The sequence below is a fragment of the Homo sapiens genome, chromosome 2 (assembly GCF_000001405.40).
Source record: "Homo sapiens chromosome 2, GRCh38.p14 Primary Assembly".
Lineage (NCBI taxonomy): Eukaryota > Metazoa > Chordata > Mammalia > Primates > Hominidae > Homo > Homo sapiens.
The window spans coordinates 206,599,230-206,621,481 of record NC_000002.12 but is presented as its reverse complement, the minus strand read 5'-3'; the positions used below and the strand labels follow the sequence as shown (position 1 = coordinate 206,621,481).

Here is a 22,252-nt window from a genome sequence, read left to right as displayed (position 1 = left end):
ATTTGGTACCAGGTCCAAAGTGTGGATGTTATTACTAGCCATCCACTCTTAAAACTCAGAAGGGAGATACTAAAAAAAAAAAATCTCTAAGCGATCCTAAGGTAGGGTTTTTTCTGATTTATAAGAAGCAAAAAATTCCAATGAATCCAATAAAACTGAATCGTAATCAGGCATATATTTATCATTAATCAGAGATTTTATTTTGTGCCACTGACTGCTTAAATTTTCAGTAAGCCTTTGGATCCATGCTAAAACTCTGATGATATCAGGCACATGGCCATTTAATCAGCACTACAAGAGGAAACAGAAAAGGGGGTTTAAAAGAAATGATTAAAGCATAAAGCTACAACATTCTACGTTAACGAAAGTTTTAATACACATTTGACTTAAAGATGCATACAATGACTACTGAATCTCCATTCATAGGCAGCCAACAAGATACGAATGAATTTATTAATTTCAAACAAAATTTCAGGTAGTGCACTTAAAAAATTACAAAGCACTTGAAAATGGAAACTAACAATGGAAGCAACAATGACTATAAAACATGATGGGATAACTTTAAAGAAAGGGTTCAAGTATTGTTTGTAAAGTTCTTCAGACACTAGTCTTTGAAAAGTTTGTGCATTTCCCATCTTTGCATAGTAAAAAACAAAAACCACACACACCACTTGGTAAAACTCCACTGCTCTATGTGATTCATGTTTCATAACATGCACTTATGTGTACTGCTCAGTTATCTAGTAGGAGCAGCTCTAATTCAATGGGCTCATGCACTATCCCAGATGAGCAATGAAGTTAGCGCACGTCTCCTCATCCGGGTGTCATTAATTAATGCAGCAAAAGTAGAGCAGGTGAAATGGGAACTTGATCATCACTTAACACTAACTCTTGTTGGGTAACATTAAACAGTGATACACTTGTGCTGTGAGCTCAAATTAATAAAAAAGAATCTCCACGCCACAAAAATTAGCAAATGAATGGCAGGTGCAAAACAAAATACAGCAAAGAGTTTGAAACTACATAACCTAATACCATCAAAAATAATTATAATCCATTTTTACAATTGATATGGTTGCATTAACTTTCATATTCATACACACATAGCTTAAAGCTTGTGTATTTTACATATACACAAATAATTTAACATTGGAGCATAGGTTCGATTACCTATGAAATTGCCAGTGTAACAAAAAGTTACACTGACATTTGCCATATGTACATAATATTTGGGGACCACTGTGGTCTGATTTAAAACGTAACATCGCACATTTACAATGTTGTTTGTGAAATGCTTAAAAGTTAACAATAGAGATTTAATTTGTTTTGTAACCAACATGATTTTGTTTCTGTTATGTCACCAAGGTGGCTCTGGAATCTTAGTGAAATGTGTATGGTGTACTTCACAGCAGTTTAGTATCTACTAGAGAGTAGGACCCAGCAACAAGGAAACACTAAGCAATGCAGCAACAGGAAAAGATACCAAGTAATCTGAGTTTCCTCCAAGCTTCCTCCGAGCTGAAAGAGCCATTGCCAATGACTAGAGGGATGCTACCTGTGTCCTATGAAGCCAGGAGTAAGGCTGAGAGGCCTTGTAGATAGCCCTGTTATTACAAAATAAACGTACACCTAGTCCTAGAGAAAGCCCGCCTACCTGCGTAGCACCTATTACTCAGAAAGCAACAACATGATAAGATGTTTGGTGATGGTCTATTGTAGAATATAGAAATTAAAGTCTCTGCTCTATGTTTGTGGTACTTCCCCAGTTAAAGACACCTCGGGGGAAAAAAACCCCACTGTGTTAAGCAGTGCATTTTTAGGACATAATACTTTCCAAAATCAAAGTTGTAAGACGGATAACATGAATCTTGCTGAAAAGGGACCAGGAGCTAAACCTAGCAATGGATTTGGTGTCATGAAGAAGTGATGAGTAAAACTGCATGTTCTTTTCCTAAAAAAAAAAGGGGGGGGGCATTAGAGAAGTAGGGGCTCTTTGGGACAGTCTTTACTAAAGCCCATCTATAGAGGGATGCTCACTGAAGTGATCACATACCGGTTTGTACATTAAAACAAAGCCGGGACCAAATTTCTTCAGCTTATTTACTTAACATGTGACAGAAGCTATCTTGACCATATTTAGAAGAAAAAAATCAGTAAAAGTGAAGGAAACTCAGAGGGACTTGGAAAGCCCAGATTACATCTGCAAATCTGGCTGGAGGGAGAAGAACAATGTGGATTTGTATATAGTAGAATCCCATTATAATCCAGTGCAACGGTCCACTGATCAGTAAAATGCCAGAGGTCAAACAAGGTTTCTTGAAAGCACAGCACAGCATAAAAGCCTATTTTAACAATGCGGATACAAAGGTAACTGCTCCTTCTATTCCCATTACCACTTTTCCAATAGGGTTCTACCATATATATTTTGAGGCAGGAAAATGAGCATGGATGAAATATTGACACTAACAAATACAAATAAAATGGAAAGCTTAATTTTTTCCAAGCTTTTAACATTTAAAAAAATTTTTTTATTTAAGGCTTTAAGTTTATCCTCCTTTCACATTAAAGACAGGGAAAGAAAATTGTCAAAACCGAAAACCAAAATCATGAGCTTGGCACTTTTGTGATTAATCTGAAAGGGTGTCTACTTTCTTACATTATTTACATAGGTTTATAATGACATCAAAAAATTTTCGAAACTTAGTACATATATTTCCATTTACATAATTTTGTGTCTTTGATATGGGTTATTTTGTTGTTTATGTCCCCCCTTTTATTTTTGGTTTAACGCACACCAACTTTAAACTGCACGTGTTTTGTGCCCAAACTCCCTGCATCTGTGGCTATATCTGTCTTTTTAAGCAAGCCCAAGAGTCATTGTATAACACGTTACAAGAGAGAAGGACAGAGACAGAGAAAGAGAGACAAGAAACAAAAAAGATGGGGAGCAAAAAATCAACTCAAGTTTACAGAGAACCTTTACAAGGAAAATATCTCAATACAGACAAGTGAAAATGATGTGTCAAAATCTCTTATTTCCATATTTACATTTATAAAAGAACTATACAATAGCATCATTGTTCAAATTCCAGCTCCCATTTCCAAAGGATGCTCAGTCCAGGAGAAAACACAATGGGGAAAGTGAATCAACAAGAGCAAGGTCCGTGGAGTTCTGCCCTGGCCTGGTCTCCAATGGGGAGTGGGGATTATAGAGGGTGGGAGGTGGGGGGTAAGAAGTGGGGCTCCGAGAGGATGGGGTGTGGGGACATGTTTAAGTGAAGAGGCCCAGGCAGCTTCTTTGTGTTCATCTGTCATCTTCACTTTAGGAATTCTGTTGCAGGTTTTGCTGAGAATTGGCTTGCTAGCTTGTTGTATATATGCCATGCAGTTTTTACCCTTTTGAAAATTAGATCTTCATGCCACTGGAGTTTGTCATCGGTAGTAAAGAAAAAAAAATCATGCCAAATCATTTAGAAGATATTAAGTGCCAGCAGGCTGAGGGAAAAAAAATCATTTACTATTTTTTTTAATGATTCCTTTATTGCATTTAATTTTTGTGTGTGTGTTGTTCCTTCGTCCATTAGGGAAAAAAAAGATTCTGGAACAGTTCTTTTTATAGCATGGTCTTTTGCCCCCTCCCCCGTTTACTGACAGGTGGTGAAAGGTGTTCTTTGACATTATTTCCAAAAGAGACAGTTTTCTTTTACCCCATCCTTGTCACCCCAACTTTAGCTCCGTAGTCATTACCACCCAAAGGTTTTGTTTACAAACTTAATAGTTCCAGTAACACTGCTGCGAGTATGTCATACCCAGAATCCAACAGTGCAAGGCGGTGTCCATCCAGCGCAGCTGATTCAGATGGGGCCTTGCTGAGTAGGATCGAACCTTCTCTTCTTGACATTTCTTCCAGAGTGAGTCAAAAGAAGATGCAAGCAGAGGGGGAAAATCCACAATATTAATCAGATGATGATGACAGAATGGTGATGATAATGACAATAATGCTAGTTCCAGAGCAAAGTAATTAACTCACATGGAGGCAGTCTCCAAAATAACTTGAAATTGAAAGACAGAACAGCTAATGTTTTTGAATGTCTTCACAACATACCCCCTAGAGTATGTCCTTTGGTGAAGACCAAACAAAACTTTGGGTTGTTTATTTTAAATCACAGGAAGACTCTGCGGCCCAATTTGTCTCTTATTTCAGAAATAATCACACTGCTAATTCATTAGGTGAAAATTATTACAGGAAGGCCTCTTCCATGAAGGAGCCTATTGGGAGAACTAAGAAAAATGGAAAGTCTCATAGCTACTTCCCTTCAGGCTTATAGCAGTTCTATAGCAGTGAACTGGCCTTTACCAAGGTGGCAAAAAAGCCTCGCTTTTTTCAGTTATCTTGCTGCCTTGGGTGTGTGAGCTCTTACTCCACTATAGAACAAGCATTTTTTATATCTAGAAAGTTGAAAAACAGAGTGCACAGTAAGACAGTACACTCAAAGGAGAGTGGACACAGGTTCAGGTTAGTTAAGCAAATGCAGAATTTAGCTTAGTTGAAAATCGGCAAGTTAAAATGCTTTGCTCACAGTGTCCAGTCTCCTAAAAAGTGGCTCCTATGTTTAAAGAGAAAAGAAAGAACCAGCAAGACACTACAAGGCAACAGTAAAAGTTGGTTGCAACCTCCCCATGGTCTGGCTTTATGTGGGGCATCAAGCAAGGGGCTCATGCATTTAGTCTGCATACTGGGCGGGTGCAACGCTACTGCCACCGAGGCATCATGCAAAACTGGAGACTGAGGAGTCCCCAAAGCCCTCACTCCCCTGCCCACCGACTGAGGGCCAGCTGGATACCCTTACAGGCCCTAAGTATCAAAGCCATTGCGATATATTCCTCCTCCCCCACAAGTAATTCAAAATAAAAACAATACCAAAGCTCAAAATAGGTATAAAGGCATCCTGCAAAGTTCTTATTTTTCCCAAGATGGTCACTTTGATGCTTCTCTTTTGAAATATCAACATAAAAGTCTTTAAAGAAAACTTGTCTTTTCTTTTTAAAGTTTACATTAAAACGTCTTCATGAGTGACCTAAGTGTGTGACTCATTGGCCTAGCAGGTAACCATTGCAGCCAACACTATCTGCAACAATGCTGTTTACTTTTCTTCATCATTCCCACCCAGCCCTCTTTTAAGTCAACATTCTTGAAAGCGGGCACTGCTGATGCTGCCCAAGAAACCAATGTGAAACCAAAAGGCAAGTATCCCATAATGCATCCTCCACCAAGTTAGTTTGCTGCAGAGCACAGGGTCTCCATCTGCCACCTATGTTCATATCCCTGGAAGGTAGAGGTTTAAGGAGCCATACTCTGTGAGTCAGGGAGGAAAAACAGAGACTGCCTGACCTTGTGAAATGACCCTGAAGGACAAGAGGCCCCAATCTTGTGAGCTATGTATTGCTAGAACTCAAGATAAATGTTAAACTAAATTTCCTCAGTAAATCCAAATGTAGAGGAAAGGGCAAACCAAGCTAGCACTGTGCATGTTGCCCACATCTAAATTCCTTTATTCAAATTCGGGAATGACCGATAAGTAGCCATGTCCAAGGTCGTAACAGCAATGCAGTCCACTTTTAAATGGAGATAGGAAATTCCATTTCAGCCTGGCACACAGACAACCGCTGGTGTCCAAAAGCTTGTGCTCTTTTTAAAAGCTGGTTTTTGAAGCTTAGGTTGCACCTTTTTGCAGAAATATTGCTCTACAGGATCACTGGGTTCCCAGGCCAGACAGAGAGGCTGAGCCATCCTGCAGAACTGTATCTTTCTGGATGAAAATGGACTCTGAACACCAATGGGGCATTCCAGGACCTTAGCTCTTCCACTGATGTCCCAGCAGGGGGAAAGTGAGCTCCTCTACAAGGGAGGCCACACTGCGATGAGGACAGAGATGAACACTCCTGTGGCAAGCGGACTGTGAAGGTGCCTCACACATAAATTGTAAAACCATCACAGTCACTGTATGTTGAGAACGGTCTGAATTTTCTCTATGAAAAAAATATTCTTTCAGTTCAATTTTAATGTGAAAGTACAACTACTGCGGGCAGGTCCTTGCTGACTTTCTTCATAACGGTTTCCTCTGAATACCCTCCGCTCACTAGGATTCTGAAGGTAATTAACTTTCTCATAACCTGTAAGGTATTTCTGGATCATTATAAAACACTAGCATAATCCATAAAGCTTACATTTTCACAGCTTTCATCCATTTTTACTACTTCTGAAATAATCTGGACTTTTGTCTACAATATACATTATACACATAACATCTACACAAAATTAAAGCAAGACTCTTTCAGTAACAATAACCGTCTCAGAGCCGTAAAGCCTTTAGTTCTTCTTTCAAGGGCATATATTTATCCATGGTTAGCACATTCTTATCATTCTATGCTGAGTCACCCCCTGACGAAGTGTCCCTAGCCCAACCCCTCCTAGGCCACCATACACTGAGCTCACTTCCCTGGGGCGCTGGGGCAGGGAAATGCACCGATCTTCCTGGCCAGCCTGGTACCATGAAAGAGAAAGTGCCTAACCCAGGAGTCCCAGGCATTAAGGGAATCAGGCTTCTCATTTTGAACTGGGATACAGTCATGGAATTCAAAAAAACAGCAGTCTGGTTATCCTCCTCGTGGAAAGACTAGCCAAATTTAATTCAATTTCCTAATTCAATAAAAATCAAAAGGCCCCCACAAAAAATGGTGTTTACTCTTTTGAGAAAATATAATTAACAATATTAAGTTCCTTTCAAATTTTATCTGACTTGACATTCAGATAACTCTTTTTTTTTTTGAGACAGAGTTTTGTTCTTGTTGCCCAGGCTGGAGTGCAATGGCGCAGTCTCGGCTCACTGCAACCTCCGTCTCCCGGGTTCAAGGGATTCTGTCTCTGCCTCCCGAGTAGCTGGGATTACAGGCGTGCACCACCATGCCCGGTTAATTTTTGTATTTTTAGTAGAGACAGGGTTTCACCATGTTGGCCAGTCTGGTCTCGAACTCCTGTCCTCAGGCGATCTGTCCACCTCAGCCTGGGATTACAGGCATGAGCCACCATGCCCAGCTTCAGATAACTCTTAACTTTGCTGGTAATAGTCTAGATATAGCTCTTTTTCATTTTGTGTGAGTACATAAACAGCCTTTTCTTTAACATGTCCAATAAAATGGAACGTAGGCCAGACAGAATCTCTTAAATCCAGAGTCAGGCTCAGAAGAGCTTTTAACACAAATAACTTCTCAGAGAGAAGGAATCACGTATGATAATTACACAGACTTATTAATATTAAATTAACACTTTTAATGTAAGGAGTAGCTATGCCAGGCCAGTATGGCCACTGATGAAATCCACTTTGCCACTGAATCCCATGGACAGGGCAAGTAGCGGGAGAGTAAGACGTGGTGATGAGGTTCTACAGACTGAGGTGTTACGGTATCACTGGAAAAGCTCAGTGTTCATCCTGTAGTCCTTTTGATTTCAATTTTCAACAAACCATGTCACTATTACCTTCATTTCTTTTCCTACCATCACCTAGAATTTCTCTTTTCCTACCACCATCACCTACTAATGTGCATGTAAAACCCTACATTCAAATTTAGGGAATATCAGATAAATAGCAACGCCTAAGGTGCTGAAGACAATCCTGTTCACTTTTAAATGGAGATATGAAATTCTCTTTTCATATACTTTTCACCTTTCCTAAGCTTTAGGGAAGATGCTACTAAAATGGTCCTGCTTTTTCTAATGTCCAGTAAAAGCAACAGCTCTAACAGTCGAATCAAGCAGTATCATCATTTAATGTTGGGTAGGTGTCATGAGTCTCCATGAGTCAACTAGGACAGAGGTTTGCAATCCTCTGCACCACAGCTCATAACTTTATTCTTGTGTGTGGGTGATGGGGAAGAACAGGAGCATGGGGTGAATGAAAATAAATGCAGATATAGAAGTAGAGCAAATTGGTGTGCCACATGCCTATGTTCGTTTTTCACAGGATTTCATAGAGAAATTCCTAAGACCCTCAATACCTGGGACTCTACGACTAATCATACCCTTAGTAACCTCATACTTCTGGAGTATGAAATTAAGCAAAGTTGGCTGGGCACAGTGGCTCATGCCTGTAATCCCAACACTTTGGGAGGCCGAGTCTGGCGGATCACCTGAGGTTGGAAGTTCCAGACCTGCCTGGCCAACGTGGAGAAACCCCATCTCTGCTAAAAATACAAAATTAGCTGGGCGTGGTGGCGCATGCCTGTAATCCCAGCTGCTCAGGAGGCTGAGGCAGGAGAATCGCCTGAACCTGGGAGGCGGAGGTTGCGGTGAACTGAGATCATGCCACTGCACTCCAGCCTGGGCAATAAAAGCAAAACTCTGTCTCAAAAAAAAAGAAAAAGAAATTAAGCAAAGTTACTACCCATAACATTACACAATATGTGACAATATTTTTTAAAAATCTACCAAATAAAACATTTAAAAATTCTTCAGGAAATCCACAACCTTGCTTGTGGAAGTCTTGCTTGCATTAACCAAAGCGGTCTGACTCAACTAATCTACTAAAAGGAAGTATGTAATTTAAATCAGTATTATTTTCAGATTATAATAATCTTGATACATCTTTATTATCACTTCACACACACAAATGTGCACACATTCACATACATGCACACATTTTCATGCTTTTTACCACCTATTTCAGAGGAAATAATAGTTTAAGGAAAGAACTTTAAAGAATGGCAGACAAGGTCAGGGCTTAGAGCATAGCTGTATTTCTCATTTATACTTGGGCAGGTCACGTATAGTATGATACTTCTACATCTAAACTACTCACTAGTACACCTAAAGAAATGTGACATTAGGAAAATATAGTATTTTCCCTGAGTAGTTACTGTATTTTCCTTTAATCAAAAAGTTGACATGCCCTCAAATTGTTCAGGTTACCTTACCAACTTTTCTTCTAGAAATAAAAACCTGGTATCAGGAGGGATTCCCAATAGCAGCATTTAGAACAATCTTTTGTACAAACTATTTTCAACTTCTGATTCTAAAGGAATTTCTTTTTAAACATTTACATTGAACTCAAACCCAAAGGCTTTCAGTTCAAATAGCAAATAATTATACTTACGAATTATCTCCAGACTAGTAATCTCCAGAACTGTCCAAGTGGTGGGAAAATCTAAACATTATCATTCAGCACCAAAAGCCTTTTATTACAAGGTAGAAGTGTTATTTAAAGCTGAACACAAACCACACAGTTACTACTAAAATCTAAAGCAAATTAAGGTCCTCATGTAGCAACCAACAGTCACCCAGGAGTAGCACATTCTCCAAATTTAAACTCCTGAAGTTACATGTTCTGGAATTATTCTTAGTCTTCATCGTTTTCTTTGCTTCGGGGCATGAAATACTTCACCCTATTGTGTGTCTTTCTACACAGTTCTCCCTGAAAGTGATTATCAGAGTTACAGGGCACAGGAAGGGGCTTTGACTCAGCTCAGCAGTACAGGTCCCTACACAGCAACAACCAGGCAGCAGTCAGCAAAGGCTGTTTCTCATCTCACTAAGTGCTGATCCCCCACCTTTTGTTTTCTGTTCTTGTGATAACGAGATCTCTCTCTCTCTCAGATATAAAGAATCTTTACAGGGCCTAATCCACTTATATACACAGTGATAAAGGCTTTTCCATTTTTCCCCAAAGAAACATGCAATTCAAGCTGTGAGCTAGGCCAGGCCACTGTTTTGAGGTCCTGCTACAGAATAGTGTGCTCTTCTCTCGAAACACTGCAATGATAAATTTGGCATTGCATATGGCTAGACGGCAAAGACGTGTAATAGACTGTTTTCCAGGCCTTTGAAACCGGGATTTCTTAACGCCAAATGAGGCATAAGCCTGGGCATGATCCAGATTTATTTTTCTTGAGGCATACTAATGAAAAAGTTCAAGGAAGCATTATAAAATAATAAGAGTATGGCAGTACTATAATGTTCAATGACTTTTTTGTAGCAGTGGAACACTAAGAAAAGTTTTGCTTGAATTAGGTCCGCCCAAACGAAAACATATTTCTTACTAGATGCCACATGCGTGACTCACTATGTGGGCAATATTTTATTAATACCAAAACAATAAATTTAAATATGAGTTGTCCATTTTATGAGTGTGTTTTTGAAAACACACTGATGCCAAGACTACATTACTAAACAAGTTCAACTCTACAAATATACCGAGAGAAAAGACGTATAATTTTATAATACTATTTCAAGTTAAAGGCACTCCAAAACTGTAGACTTACTCAATAAATCTTAATATGATAACAAATTAGCAGAAAATGTTGAATGTATTTAAATCATCTTTGGTTTCTTTAATCAGCTTCTAAAAATAACACTTTAACTGGCTGAAACATATTGAATTCAAAATCCCAAATATAAAACATATAAAGTTTATAATTAAGGCAATTATTCAGATAGTTCAGGGCAAAAGCTTCCTCTTTTGAGTAACCAGATGCAGGCAAAGTGGGTTTTGAATTTGGGTAATGGTCTTATTTCCCACTTAAATTTGTTTCTGTGAATCTGGCTGAAAATTTATCACAGGAGGCACAGGAGGGCTTACCTACAAATCATAATCATCAACTCACTATAGCATGAAAAGGTATAAAAAGCAATTATCCAATGATTCTGGAGTGTAGAAATAGCCAGCCTGGATAAATCAGCTTTAAAAATTTTGATCACAATTGAAGTTTATTTGTGAATACCCAGTGTGTCTATTTAAACAATCTTAGTTCAGTAAGCAGTGTGCAATCCAAACTAAAAGGTCACTATGAAAACACACCAGGCCTACCTGTCAGGTCAATATTTAGTCCTTGATTAGAAAATACTAAGTGTCACAAAGCCACATTTTTCAAATTCTGATTTAAAACCAATTCAGTTGGTCGAGGATTATACAAATACTTTTAAAATCTGTTTTCATTAAACTATAAAGCTTTTCAAATCACAAAGCTACATATACTATGTTACATATGAAAAATACAAGTAATGATTGCATAATTACTTAGGTTGTGAAAATTTCAAAATATCAGTGGACTACAAACAAGTTTTAAACAGATACAAGCAATTTACATCCACTTATTTCCAACTACATGGTTTCCTCGATTTCCTGTGTAGAAATGAATGTATCTCAGAGTGCCTGCTCTTACAAGCTGGACTGTCTTCTACCAAAGAACTTCGTTGTTCTCCTTAAAAATCAGTGTATATGAATTCCTTCTACATTTCCACTTGCCTGAAAATGACAGTTGAGGGTCCGTGTTTCTTCATTTCTAACCCATTTCTGAATAAAAAGACTTATTTTTTGCAGTTTGACTGACAGAACCTAAGCTCTTGTAGCAGGAACTCAAAACTTGGTTATGTAAGCAGAAAAGAGAAATGCCAGAGCCACTGAGAAGAAGACATGCGGCGTTGCTTACTTAAATCCCCAGCCTGTGCCCCCAAGGACAATAGCTGCTACCAGGATGGCACCAGCGATGGAGCCTATTATGAGATTGGTGGCACTAGGACCTGTGACAAAGGATCATGGGAAGAGAGTCATATGAACCAACCACTTTCGTTACCACAAGGGAAAGGCAGTTAAGCAGTTTCAGGAAGTAAATATCCTGTGTAAAAGACGGCTAAACATTTAAATTGCCTTTATTTACTTAGCTTAATTGCATTTTAGATGCTACGGTGAGCGTTGCTTGGATTTATATGCCTTTAAATCTAAAGTTTCTGCACCATTGACAATTAAGTTCCATTAAATTCACCTTTCACAGAATTTGAAGCAAATAGGCCCCACTTGCTGTCTTTACACATCCTTCTTCTCTTCCCCTCTCCCAGTATCATGTATCAAATAAGTAAAAGCACAGAGAGAACACCATCGCATTCAGACAAGCTCCATCTGACTCACAAATGGGGGCATGGAGGAAAGGAAACACATTCTGCTACAATGCCCTTCCAAAAAGCACCTAAAAGTGGTCTGAATGCTAACTTTTTAATTCCCCACTTGGAAACAGTTAAAACTTAGCAGTCAGAAGGAAGTCAATACAGATCTGACTTTTGAAGCCTTGCTCTCAAAGATACACTTCTTCACTATCCTTACAGTGGTAAAGACCAAAATGGGGTTCCAAAGGCAAGATATAAGGAAGCATAAATCTCATTTGGGTAATTTTGGGGAAATGGTAAAAAGATTCCTTAGATTCAACTGAGAATAGCTTTAAAGTTCCCATTGTTACTAACAGAACTTTCAGGCTTAGAGATATAAAAAAGCAGAGAGCCAAAGGACAGTAAGAAAGAAAAGACAAGGTGGCATTTCTATCAATTGCTAAGGGTAAGAGCTAATCCATATCCTAGTAACTCCTGTCCACTCGCTCACTCCTCTCCTTAAGCTTAGCATTTTAAAATCTAAGCAACGTTAAACCTAGTATAATAATTACTTTACATATCCCATCCTTCAGGATGCTAACATGCAGGTACAGTGTCCCCTAACAACAAAATACTTTCAGTCCTATCTATCCCTGCTCCAGGAATCACAAAGCCAATGTTGCTAGTTTCCCGAAAATCCTTGAGTTTTGTGTAAACATTCATTTCTGTGTAAAAAATTCTCTTTTCTGCTCACATCAGTGCCCTCAACTGTGTACATAAATGGATGCCACTTTTGGCAGCACACAAATTGCATGCATAATGTGTTTTTATTCGGAGACCATCCAGTGCTTGGTGGGCAGGTAGAGGACAGCTGCAATACAGTCTCGGGGTGCAGGTCTCTTTAGGCTCCTGGGCTTGTGACATGCTCTTAAGACTAACCACTGACCGTCTAGAGAACGAATCTCAGTTGCCTTTAGAGATACACCAATAATAATAATAATAATAATGAGAGCCATAAAAATAGTTTAAACAGCTACCGTATTGTGCACTTACTATGTGCTGGACACAGTACTGAACACTTGACATATAGTATCTCTTTTGATCTTTACAAAAATCGTATGAGGTGGGAACTATGACTATCCTTGTTTAATGGATGAGGAAACAGGCTTCTAGAAGTTTGTGAGTGATAGCGGCAAGATGTGAACACAGATTTGTCTGACCCTAAAACATATCCTATAAGTCAAGGGTCAGGAAACTGGAGCCCACAGACCAAATCTAGCCCCACTGTCTGCTTTTGCAAAAAAGTTTTATCGGAACATAGCCATGCACATTCATTTACATATTGTTTATGGCTGCTTTCATGCTAAGACAGCATTGTTGAGAAGTTGTTACAGACAACCCTGTAGGCTGAAAGCTAAAACTATTTACCATCTGGCCTTTTACAGAAGTTTGCTAACTTCTGTTTTAGAGAAACTTTATTCTACTTACATGTATTTCCTCCCCACAATTCAACAGAGAATCAAATTTCAAAACAAATATTAAAAAAATATATAACCATGTACATACTCTATGCTTTGGATATGATTTGCACTTCGTCCGCTTCAGAAAACAGGCTAGGATTAGAATCAACACATAATTCATGAAAAATGATTCCTGACTTATAAACTAAGGAGAAATTAAAAAAAAAACTGTCCATGGAATTCTTAGTGACTGAATGAACATTACTCTATCAATTAAACTAAGAAATGTTGAGACAATCTATATTGTACTACATTATTTTTTAAAAAACTATATTTCTTGAGCAATTATGCTAAAACTTGGAATTTGATGGGGAAAAAAATCAGTAAGCTAAGAGAAAACTAGTGCTCATAAACCAGGAATAATAACAAATCTATCTTTAGAAAAAATATACATACACTTACACAGACTTACCTGTCACAATTAGAAATAGTCACAAACGAACAAAACTGGAAATGATTGATGAAAACAAATGCTGATAACAAGGACTATGTTTTACAAGAAAGGCCTCTTTGATTTTTACCTATCTCTAAGACTTCAAGGAAGGATTATTAAAATTCATCCTTTCAATTAGTACATTTAAGGACACCAAAGTTACAGCCAATGTATAATGTTAAAAAATGCATTTGGGATGATTTTCAGAAAACTACCATTTGTCAAGGAGGAATTTCACATAAATGCATGCATGGAGCTGGCCCTGAAAAAGGAATGTTTCTTCTGTATACAATCCAGTCAACAGATCCAAGGGGAAATTTTACAGGACAAAGTTTTTGTCTCTAAATATTTTTATCCCTGTTATGGTCTTTGTTTTCTAATACACAAGGAGAAACAAAATCTCTTTTCTAGTATTTCTAGCTTCCCCTGTGCTAACCAGCTTCACAGTCCATAGAGATGAGATGTGAGTTGGAAGATCTAAGTCTGGTCAAAGTCCTTGAATCCAGGAGAAAGAAGGCTCATGTCATCTTCAACACAAGGTGTGAACTATGAACCTGCTTCCCTCTTAATGCTATTTTGGTCCCCGGGTCTCCCAATTCCAGTGTGTAAGAGGAGCACCCATTTGTTCTAACTAATGGGACTATAGAAAAACATATCTGATATTCACAATAAGCCCATGATTTGGGATGGGTGAGTCAAAGATATCTAGTGATTCCTGAAGATACTAGTAATTCATTCCTGGGCCACTTTGAAGTGTTACCACCACCACCACAGTAGACAGAAAAGACTGTGTAAAGGGTTATGTCTGCCATTCTTAAATATTCTTTTTCTAATTAGAGAGAGAAGAAAAAAATCATGATAATATTTTAATCTACAGATTAGCAATCTCAGGAAGCAATGTGCCCTGGAGAACTGACAGCTATTCTGAGGATGTGGATCAAGTACAGAGCACCCTAAATCAAAGCATCAGGAGAACTGTATTTCTGTGACAGCTTAATGGGCAAGTGGCACACAATATATTTATTTACACCCTGGCTACTTTTAAGACGAACCCACCAGGTGATTTGCAGCTGTTCACTTATGGTTATACAGGTTTGGATTAAATATTTTTTCATTCTTAATGCTCCTTGCTTCCAAATATTTATGTAGACTTCAATTTTGAATTATTAACCTATTTTATAGGAAAAATAGGAAGGCAGTATGCTAAATATCTTCTTTTTAAAAAATTAAGCTGCAGCCTCCTATATCATTCTAAATAAATGAAGAAAACATTAGTAGCTATCATTTTTATTACCTTTAAAAGGTCCTATAACTGTTGATAATTGCTAGTTATATATGTAAATTTATTTGACTGGCACAGATTAACTTTATTACAAGAATCCTAAGAAAACACACATATAAAAGCATTTTTGCCAATAAATGGTTTAAAAAAAAGTCTGTATTTTAAAATTACTTCTACAAAGTGGAGGAGCAATGGAAGTGTTGGGACTATTGCCTTAATTATGAAGATATCGGAAGCACACCCAGTGTTATGTTATGCCCCACATTGTTCCAGACAGGAGAAGGTTCTACATGACACAAGAAAACCACAGGACACAAGCAACATCCAAGTCACACCACAAGGTGCACTACCACAGGAAACACGGTCAACAGGACGAGACATGGAGTCAGGTACAGGCATCGCCTCACACATCAGGCACCACACAGAAACACTCTGAAACTGGCAAGGATGCTTACTCTATTCCCCACCCTGTGCCTCCAAAAATCACCCCCAGGGCCAGAATGGTGCCGGCCACGGCCCCTATTAGCCTGCTTGTGGCCATATTCACTGTGTGGAGGGAAAATGGAGATTTTTTAACAAAGGAAATTACATACTAATTTCACTAACATACAAAATAATCTATTCAGGACATGCTTTGAAAGTTGGCTAAATATTGAATTTTTTTGCTATAAGATTTGAAATTAAGATCTACATACACATTGAAGATATTTGAGGATAACTGTGAATTTACCTTCAAATTCTGCACACCCTACTTTTAAAAAACATAATTATCTTATACGTACTTATAAATACATAAATAATTCAATTTGTTATAGTTCCTACCAGATGTGAGGTAAAATTAAAAAGTAATTTAAATTGCATAACAGCAAATCTGTATTTTAATTACAAAAGTAATGAACCATTAGTAATTGTTTATAAAATTCTCAAACTGTAAAATATGCCTAAGAAGCTACATCTTTTCAAAATTCAGAATATATCATTCAGTTTTGCAAAGATCCTTACAAATTCAAGACAGAATAGCTTTAAAAGTAAATACATGTTTACCTGGGAAGTTATTGAAAAGCGTATTTCAGATAAGTCTGCAATATTTGGATTTCTGTCATAGTATTTAGACATTTTGTTTTTTGTTTATTAGTAGTCTCAAGTGGATAAACTTATAGAAAGTTAGGGTCTCTGGGAAACCGTATTAATTGCTTCAGACCACCAAGTGGTAGATGACTATCAGAGTGAGAATCTGAATAACTTTATGTCACTGCTTCTCTGTGTACAGCTTTCCAATCCTGGAAAATGGGCCTGGAATGAGTGGAGGTCCCCAAGGTTCCCGCTACAAAGGCAAAATGAAGTTTGGTGTTAAAGTTGGAAGACACATTGTTTGCAGTTGTGTGTCTGTGCCTGTGTGCACACAAGTGTGTGGACATACATACACTTTATTTCATATTTCTATAGGAATCAAAAGGACTGGCTTCAAATTACCTTTCCCATGAAAACAGAGATTAGCTTCAACAAGGCTGCCCTTCACATGTATTGTGTGCTCTGAGACAGTGAAACGAAACAAAGATCCACGACTCAAAGCCACCATTTTTTAAGGCTTACAATTGGGCTCACTGACATTTTTAGCTAAATATTTTCCCAGAGGAAGAGAAAGAATCTTGGATTTCTAACCCTGTTAATTAACTGTATACTGCTTTATCTTATCACAAGATAATAATGTGAGGGAGAAATTCTAGTTTTATCATTGACTAAGCACAACCTGGTTTCTTAAAAAACAAACAAACAAAAAGATGGGGACACAACAGAGAACAGAAAAGTCCCCCGAGAGTGTTGAAGGCTAAGGGAAGAAGACCAACACAGAAGGTGGCAGCAATGTTTCCCCACTATGACAATACATTAGAACTCAAAACCACCTGAACTACTCCGATTTTCAAGTTATGGAGGCAAACACTGGGACTGAAAGGTATTCAAAATATGAAGCCTCATTTTTAAAAAGACCTTAGAAAACCCTTGCTTTCAGAATACTAAATTAACTGATATACATTATTTTATAACTTTTTTTTCTTTTTTCTTTTTTTTGAGATGGAGTCTCGCTCTGTCGCCCAGGCTGGAGTGCAGTGGCATGATCTCAGCTCACTGCAACCTCTGCCTCCCGGGTTCAAGCAATTCTTCTGCCTCACCCTCCCAAGTAGCTGGGACTACAGGTGCGCACCACCACACCCGGCTAATTTTTGTATTTTTAGTTAGAGACAGGGTTTCACCATATTGGCCAGGCTGGTCTCGAACTCCTGACCTCGTGGTCTGCCTGCCTCGGCCTCCCAAAGTGCTGGGATTACAGGCATGAGGCCACCGTGCCTGGTCATAACTTTTTTTTTTTTTTTTTGGCTTAAGTTTCAGGCATTGGTTCTCAGAGCTGCAATACATGACAGTCCTATGACTTCTGCAATTTTTATATAAGCCACATATGCTTAAAAATACAAAAAACCCTCTCCCATAAATTGTGATACTAAATGAGTGTTAATTTTTTAGAAATTGTAAGAACTATATGAAAGATAAATAAAAATAATTTAAAAAGACTTTTGTCTTTGCTATGGATGTAATTTCTCACTGCAGAAACAAGACAAAATCATGTAGGTTTTAGAAATACAACCGGAGGACGAGACATTTCTACAGAGGCTTCAAGTGGGTATTCAAGATGAATAGATATATTCTGTAATCTCCAATGAGAAAGAATAATTTCCTCCACATTATTAGCTGGTAAGTACTCTTAACGCTAAAGCAAGTTAAAAGTGGGAAAAAAAGCTTTTTCAAAAGCATCCCTACCCTCCCTGTTCTCTCTCCCTCCCATTACTTTGAGTGACACAGTATCCTGCAAATACATGTAAAGTGCCATTTGATTCTTTGTCATTGTACTGAACATGGTTGTCTCTTAAAGATGTGAAGATTTTCTTTTTGTCGATTCTGCTTTGCTTTTGTTCTCTTCCTTTAGAGAGTGCTGAACTTTGTTTTGGCAAGTAGGAACTTGTGCATCACCTTGACATAAATTAACTGAGTAGCTCACGGGTGGGTGGATTTTTATAGGGGACATATTTGAAAACAAAGGTTGCAGCTGCTTTTCATAGCTACAAAGAATTTATCATCTCATTGAAAAAAATTCTACTTCTACACTAATTTATCTATTCTGTAATTTATTCATTAATTCATTCATTACCTACTAAATACCTTTTTTTTTGTTCAAGGAACTATGCTGGACACACGATGATATATCTTATTTTCCTTCTCATCCTACCAAACCTGGAGATGGAACGCTTAAAGCTTCTAGCTGACAACACAATCCTTTTATTAGGAACTTAACTTTGCTCCCTAACTCTTTGATACACTTACTTTTCAGTATAATGTGTTTGTGGAATCTGTTTATTACCTAGCAGAATGTTTTCATTTTTGTTTACTTGCTTATTTCCATTACTTGTTGGTTTATTATTATTTTCAGTCTTGGTCCCTGCTACCTAGGTTTACTTGTGCTAAAAGACAGAATTTTTGGTAAGTATAAAATATCAAAAACTATAAATTTTCTCCTTTTCTTAAGATTTTCTATTTTATATGTAGAATTCCTTTATAGACATGTCATGCTTCAGACATTTTGAAAATGTGCTGTTTTGAAATTGAGTGGGTTTTTTTCCTTATTTTTAGAGAGTTTCTCAAATAAGAAGATGCATTATTTCCCCCAAGTGATTCCAAAGGGGGTTAAAATCCTGTATCTTTTGATACTTCACAGGCAGGAGGCATCAAAGTCATCATTTGTATTCCATGGACCAAAGTGCTTTCTTCAGGGATTTATTATTCCACTACCATTCAAGACAAGAAAAGTAAATACTAAATAAACTCTTTATATACTAGTGTATAATATTGGTATGTAGCTCCATATTTCAATACATTATACATACAATCAGATCTCCTTACTGTTTTCCATAAAAGAAAAAAACAAGTTCATTTTTAGATACATGGACAAATGTCTAAAAGGATGCAAAATAAATGATTTCATGTAAGAATATATTTCAGTTTATGCTGTCAATGAAAATAGGGTTTTTCTGAACTGAAACAAAATAAATTCAGTTATTAAAAAATTTTTAAACTTGATATATCCTTGGGTTATTGATAAGGCCATTGTTATTTGAGAAAAATATCCAGGTAGCACATAATTATACATGAGCATAATCATATATGATAAGGATAACTTCTCATATCTAATCATCTAAACTATAAAATCAAAGATTTGTGCACTGACGAAGACAGTCACCAAAAGGATATATTGCAAAAGGTAAATGTAAACACTAAATACTCCTCAAGGTTAATACCTCAGAAAATAAGACTTCAAAACTATTATTTTAAAAATACTAAATGATAATAATATAATACTTCCTTTCTTATCTAATTCCATAAAAAGCATCACTGACAATAATGGATCAGTTAATAAGCTTGATTACTACCTGGTTATTGTTTCACTTTCTGTTTACTATTGTGCTATGAGAACTAGCAGAATAACTTAATATTCAGCTTTTTTTTTTTTTTTTTGAGAAGGGTCTTACTCTCTTGCTCAGGCTGGAGTGCAGTGGTGTGATCTTGGCTCACTGCAACCTCTGCCTCATGGGATTAGGTGATCCTCCCACTTCAGCCTCCCAAGTAGCTGGGACTATGGGCACATGCCACCACAACTGGCTAATTTTTTTATTTTTTTATATAGACGGGGTTTTTCCATGTTGCTCAGGCTGGTCTGGAACTCCTGGGCTCAGGCAATTTGCCCACCTCAGCTTCCTAAAGTGTTGGGATCACAGGCGTGAGCCACTGTGCCTAGCCTCACTATTCAACTTCAAAACAGGAGTATGGAATAACAGAAAAAAGCATTTGGCTCAAGATAAGGTGATTATGTTATATTATTGGCTCTGCCTCTCACTCTTTGTTAACCCTGAAAACTAACTTAGTTTCTTCATTTGTAAAACAAGGGGTCTAGACTGAATTCTTTCTAAGGCCCTTTTCATTTCTGATTTGATGAGTGTGGTTGTGATGAAAAGGTCTGACCAAAGCTTCCCAGGAATATCTGCCCATACATATCACTGAAAACATTACCTATGTCCCAGTTTCTCTTCCTTCTTACAATGGTGATGTAAACTATCAAATGAGAAAAGTTCCACTGTATTCTATAGTAAGCACCTTGAGAATGTGTCTACATACAGACAATAATTGGGGTACTTGATGTGGGTCTCCCTGTAACAGGAGAGAATTCTAGGTCTTTTAAACAGAGTTAAAATACATTCTGTCCTTGTAGAACAAAGCAAAATAATTTTCTATAATGATTTCAGTGGAAACAAGTTGAGAGAAGGACTAGGCTTAAAAAATATAAAAAATTAAAAATAAACTTAAGAAAGGGTTTTTGCATGTGAAATGAACAACGTAGAAAAAATAAATAATGTGACAAAAATCTTTTTTAAAAAATCCTTGCTCACATGGTTTGTGCTTTGAGATCTTATTTCTTGTCTTTCAATAGTTTGGTTTGAGAAGTTGGCGTGAATAATCTAGCATGCCTTAAATTATGGGTCCATAGTGGACAACTGTAGTAAGTACAGGGTGACTACAGTGGCAATGCTTTCAGGTATGCTTTCAGTCCTCACACAGGAGAGGTTGAATTTCCTATTCTTCCAGGAACTTATAGTTAAAATAAAAGAAATACACAAAACACATCAGTTCATTTCTGACATTCTCAAATCAGTGAAGACGGAGTCATAGAATTCGCCTTCATTTTTACTAATTTGGTCTTGATCCAAAGGGCAGTTGGGTACAATTTATCTTTTATGCCCATGTTCATGATTTTTAAAAAGGCCATATTTTCATTATGTTTCTTGAATTTTTTTCTCTATATAATGGAAGCACATTGAAATTAAATAAAACTAAGTATTTTTAATACTCTTACTGCACCTATACAGAAAACCTTCATCTATGGATATGATTGGCCACTGTGGGTGGTGCCCATTATAAATGGCAAGCATTTGGGGAGGGCCCAAACACTGTGCTCAATCAGGCAGGTGCCAACCAAACCAGTTGGATCATGAGAAAAAAGATACAACATGCAGTTTTTGGTTTTTTTTCCTGAGACAGTGTCTCACTCTGTTGCCCAGGTTGGAGTGCAGTGTCGCGATCTCAGCTCACTGCAAGCTCTGCCTCCCAGGTTCACGCCATTCTCCTGCCTCAGCCTCCCGAGTAGCTGGGACTACAGGTGCCTGCCACCACGCCCAACTAATTTTTTTGTATTTTTAGTAGAGACGAGGCTTCACTGTGTTAGCCAGGATGGTCTCGATCTCCTGACCTTGTGATCCGCCCGCCTTGGCCTCCCAAAGTGCTGGGATTACAGGCGTGAGCCACCGTGCCCGGCCACAACATGCATTTTTTGAGAAAAATCTTAGTGTCTCACACACTGCTGAGCCTACAGTAAGTAAAACACTGATTGTTTTAATAACTTGAGTCCATTACCTATTACTCGTCGGCAAGGCAACAAAACAAATGAATATGGATAAACTGAAAAGTGGCACTAGCATGCACCATCTCATTTCCTTTGCATATTTCAAAAGAGAAGAGTGTAATATTTATGGAGTGTCTGTGTGCCAAGCATACGCTATCTTTTAAATAGTAGACAGTCAATAAATATTTGCTAACTGAATAAAACGAAAAGCACATAATTTCTCACTTGGAATCTTCTTTTAACCTGACAATCAAAAACAAAATAATAAAATCTACAACAGAGTTTTAAAATTTTTTAGTTTCTGTTTTACCAGTATATTAATAGATTTTTTAAATAGAGGTTAAAAAGATATAGATAGCTATTACAGATAAAAGCTATTATTTACTTGTACTAAAATTGCTTGAATTTTCTGGAAATGTAAATATTTATAAAAATAACTAGGTCATTTATTTCATTTAATGACATTTTCAATTTAATCAAAATTATTAGAGATTCATAAGGTTTTTAATAATTTTAGAACCAATAGATAACTTTGCAATGACTCCATTGTCTTCATTAAAAATGGAAAAAGAAAAATGCAACAGGAAAGAAGCATACCAGAATG

General features: G+C 37.4%; 1 protein-coding gene across 3 annotated transcripts in view, besides 1 other annotated feature; it reads right to left on the bottom strand.

Moving 5' to 3' along the window:
- Nucleotides 355-22,252, bottom strand: part of ADAM23 (ADAM metallopeptidase domain 23) — a 177,596-nt gene continuing 155,698 nt past the window's right edge. Inside the window, exons 25-26 of one of the 3 annotated variants that reach the window (NM_001410985.1) lie at nt 15,602-15,692; nt 355-3,903 (exon numbers count right to left, since the gene is read on the bottom strand). In NM_001410985.1, coding sequence (NP_001397914.1) covers nt 3,855-3,903; nt 15,602-15,692 — 140 coding nt within the window. In that variant the 3' untranslated portion in view covers nt 355-3,854. Of the gene's footprint in view, nt 3,904-11,481; nt 11,573-15,601; nt 15,693-22,252 lie in introns of all 3 variants that reach the window. The other 2 variants (NM_003812.4, XM_005246932.4) reach the window with 2 other exon arrangements.
- Nucleotides 5,699-6,898: an enhancer, noted in NCBI's record as "BRD4-independent group 4 enhancer chr2:207479308-207480507 (GRCh37/hg19 assembly coordinates)". NCBI's record gives its function as "activates an origin of replication core promoter dependent on BRD2, P300/CBP, MED14 and CDK7 cofactors, and independent of BRD4, by STARR-seq in HCT116 cells {active_cell/tissue: HCT116}" and the evidence as "EXISTENCE:reporter gene assay evidence [ECO:0000049][PMID:35650434]".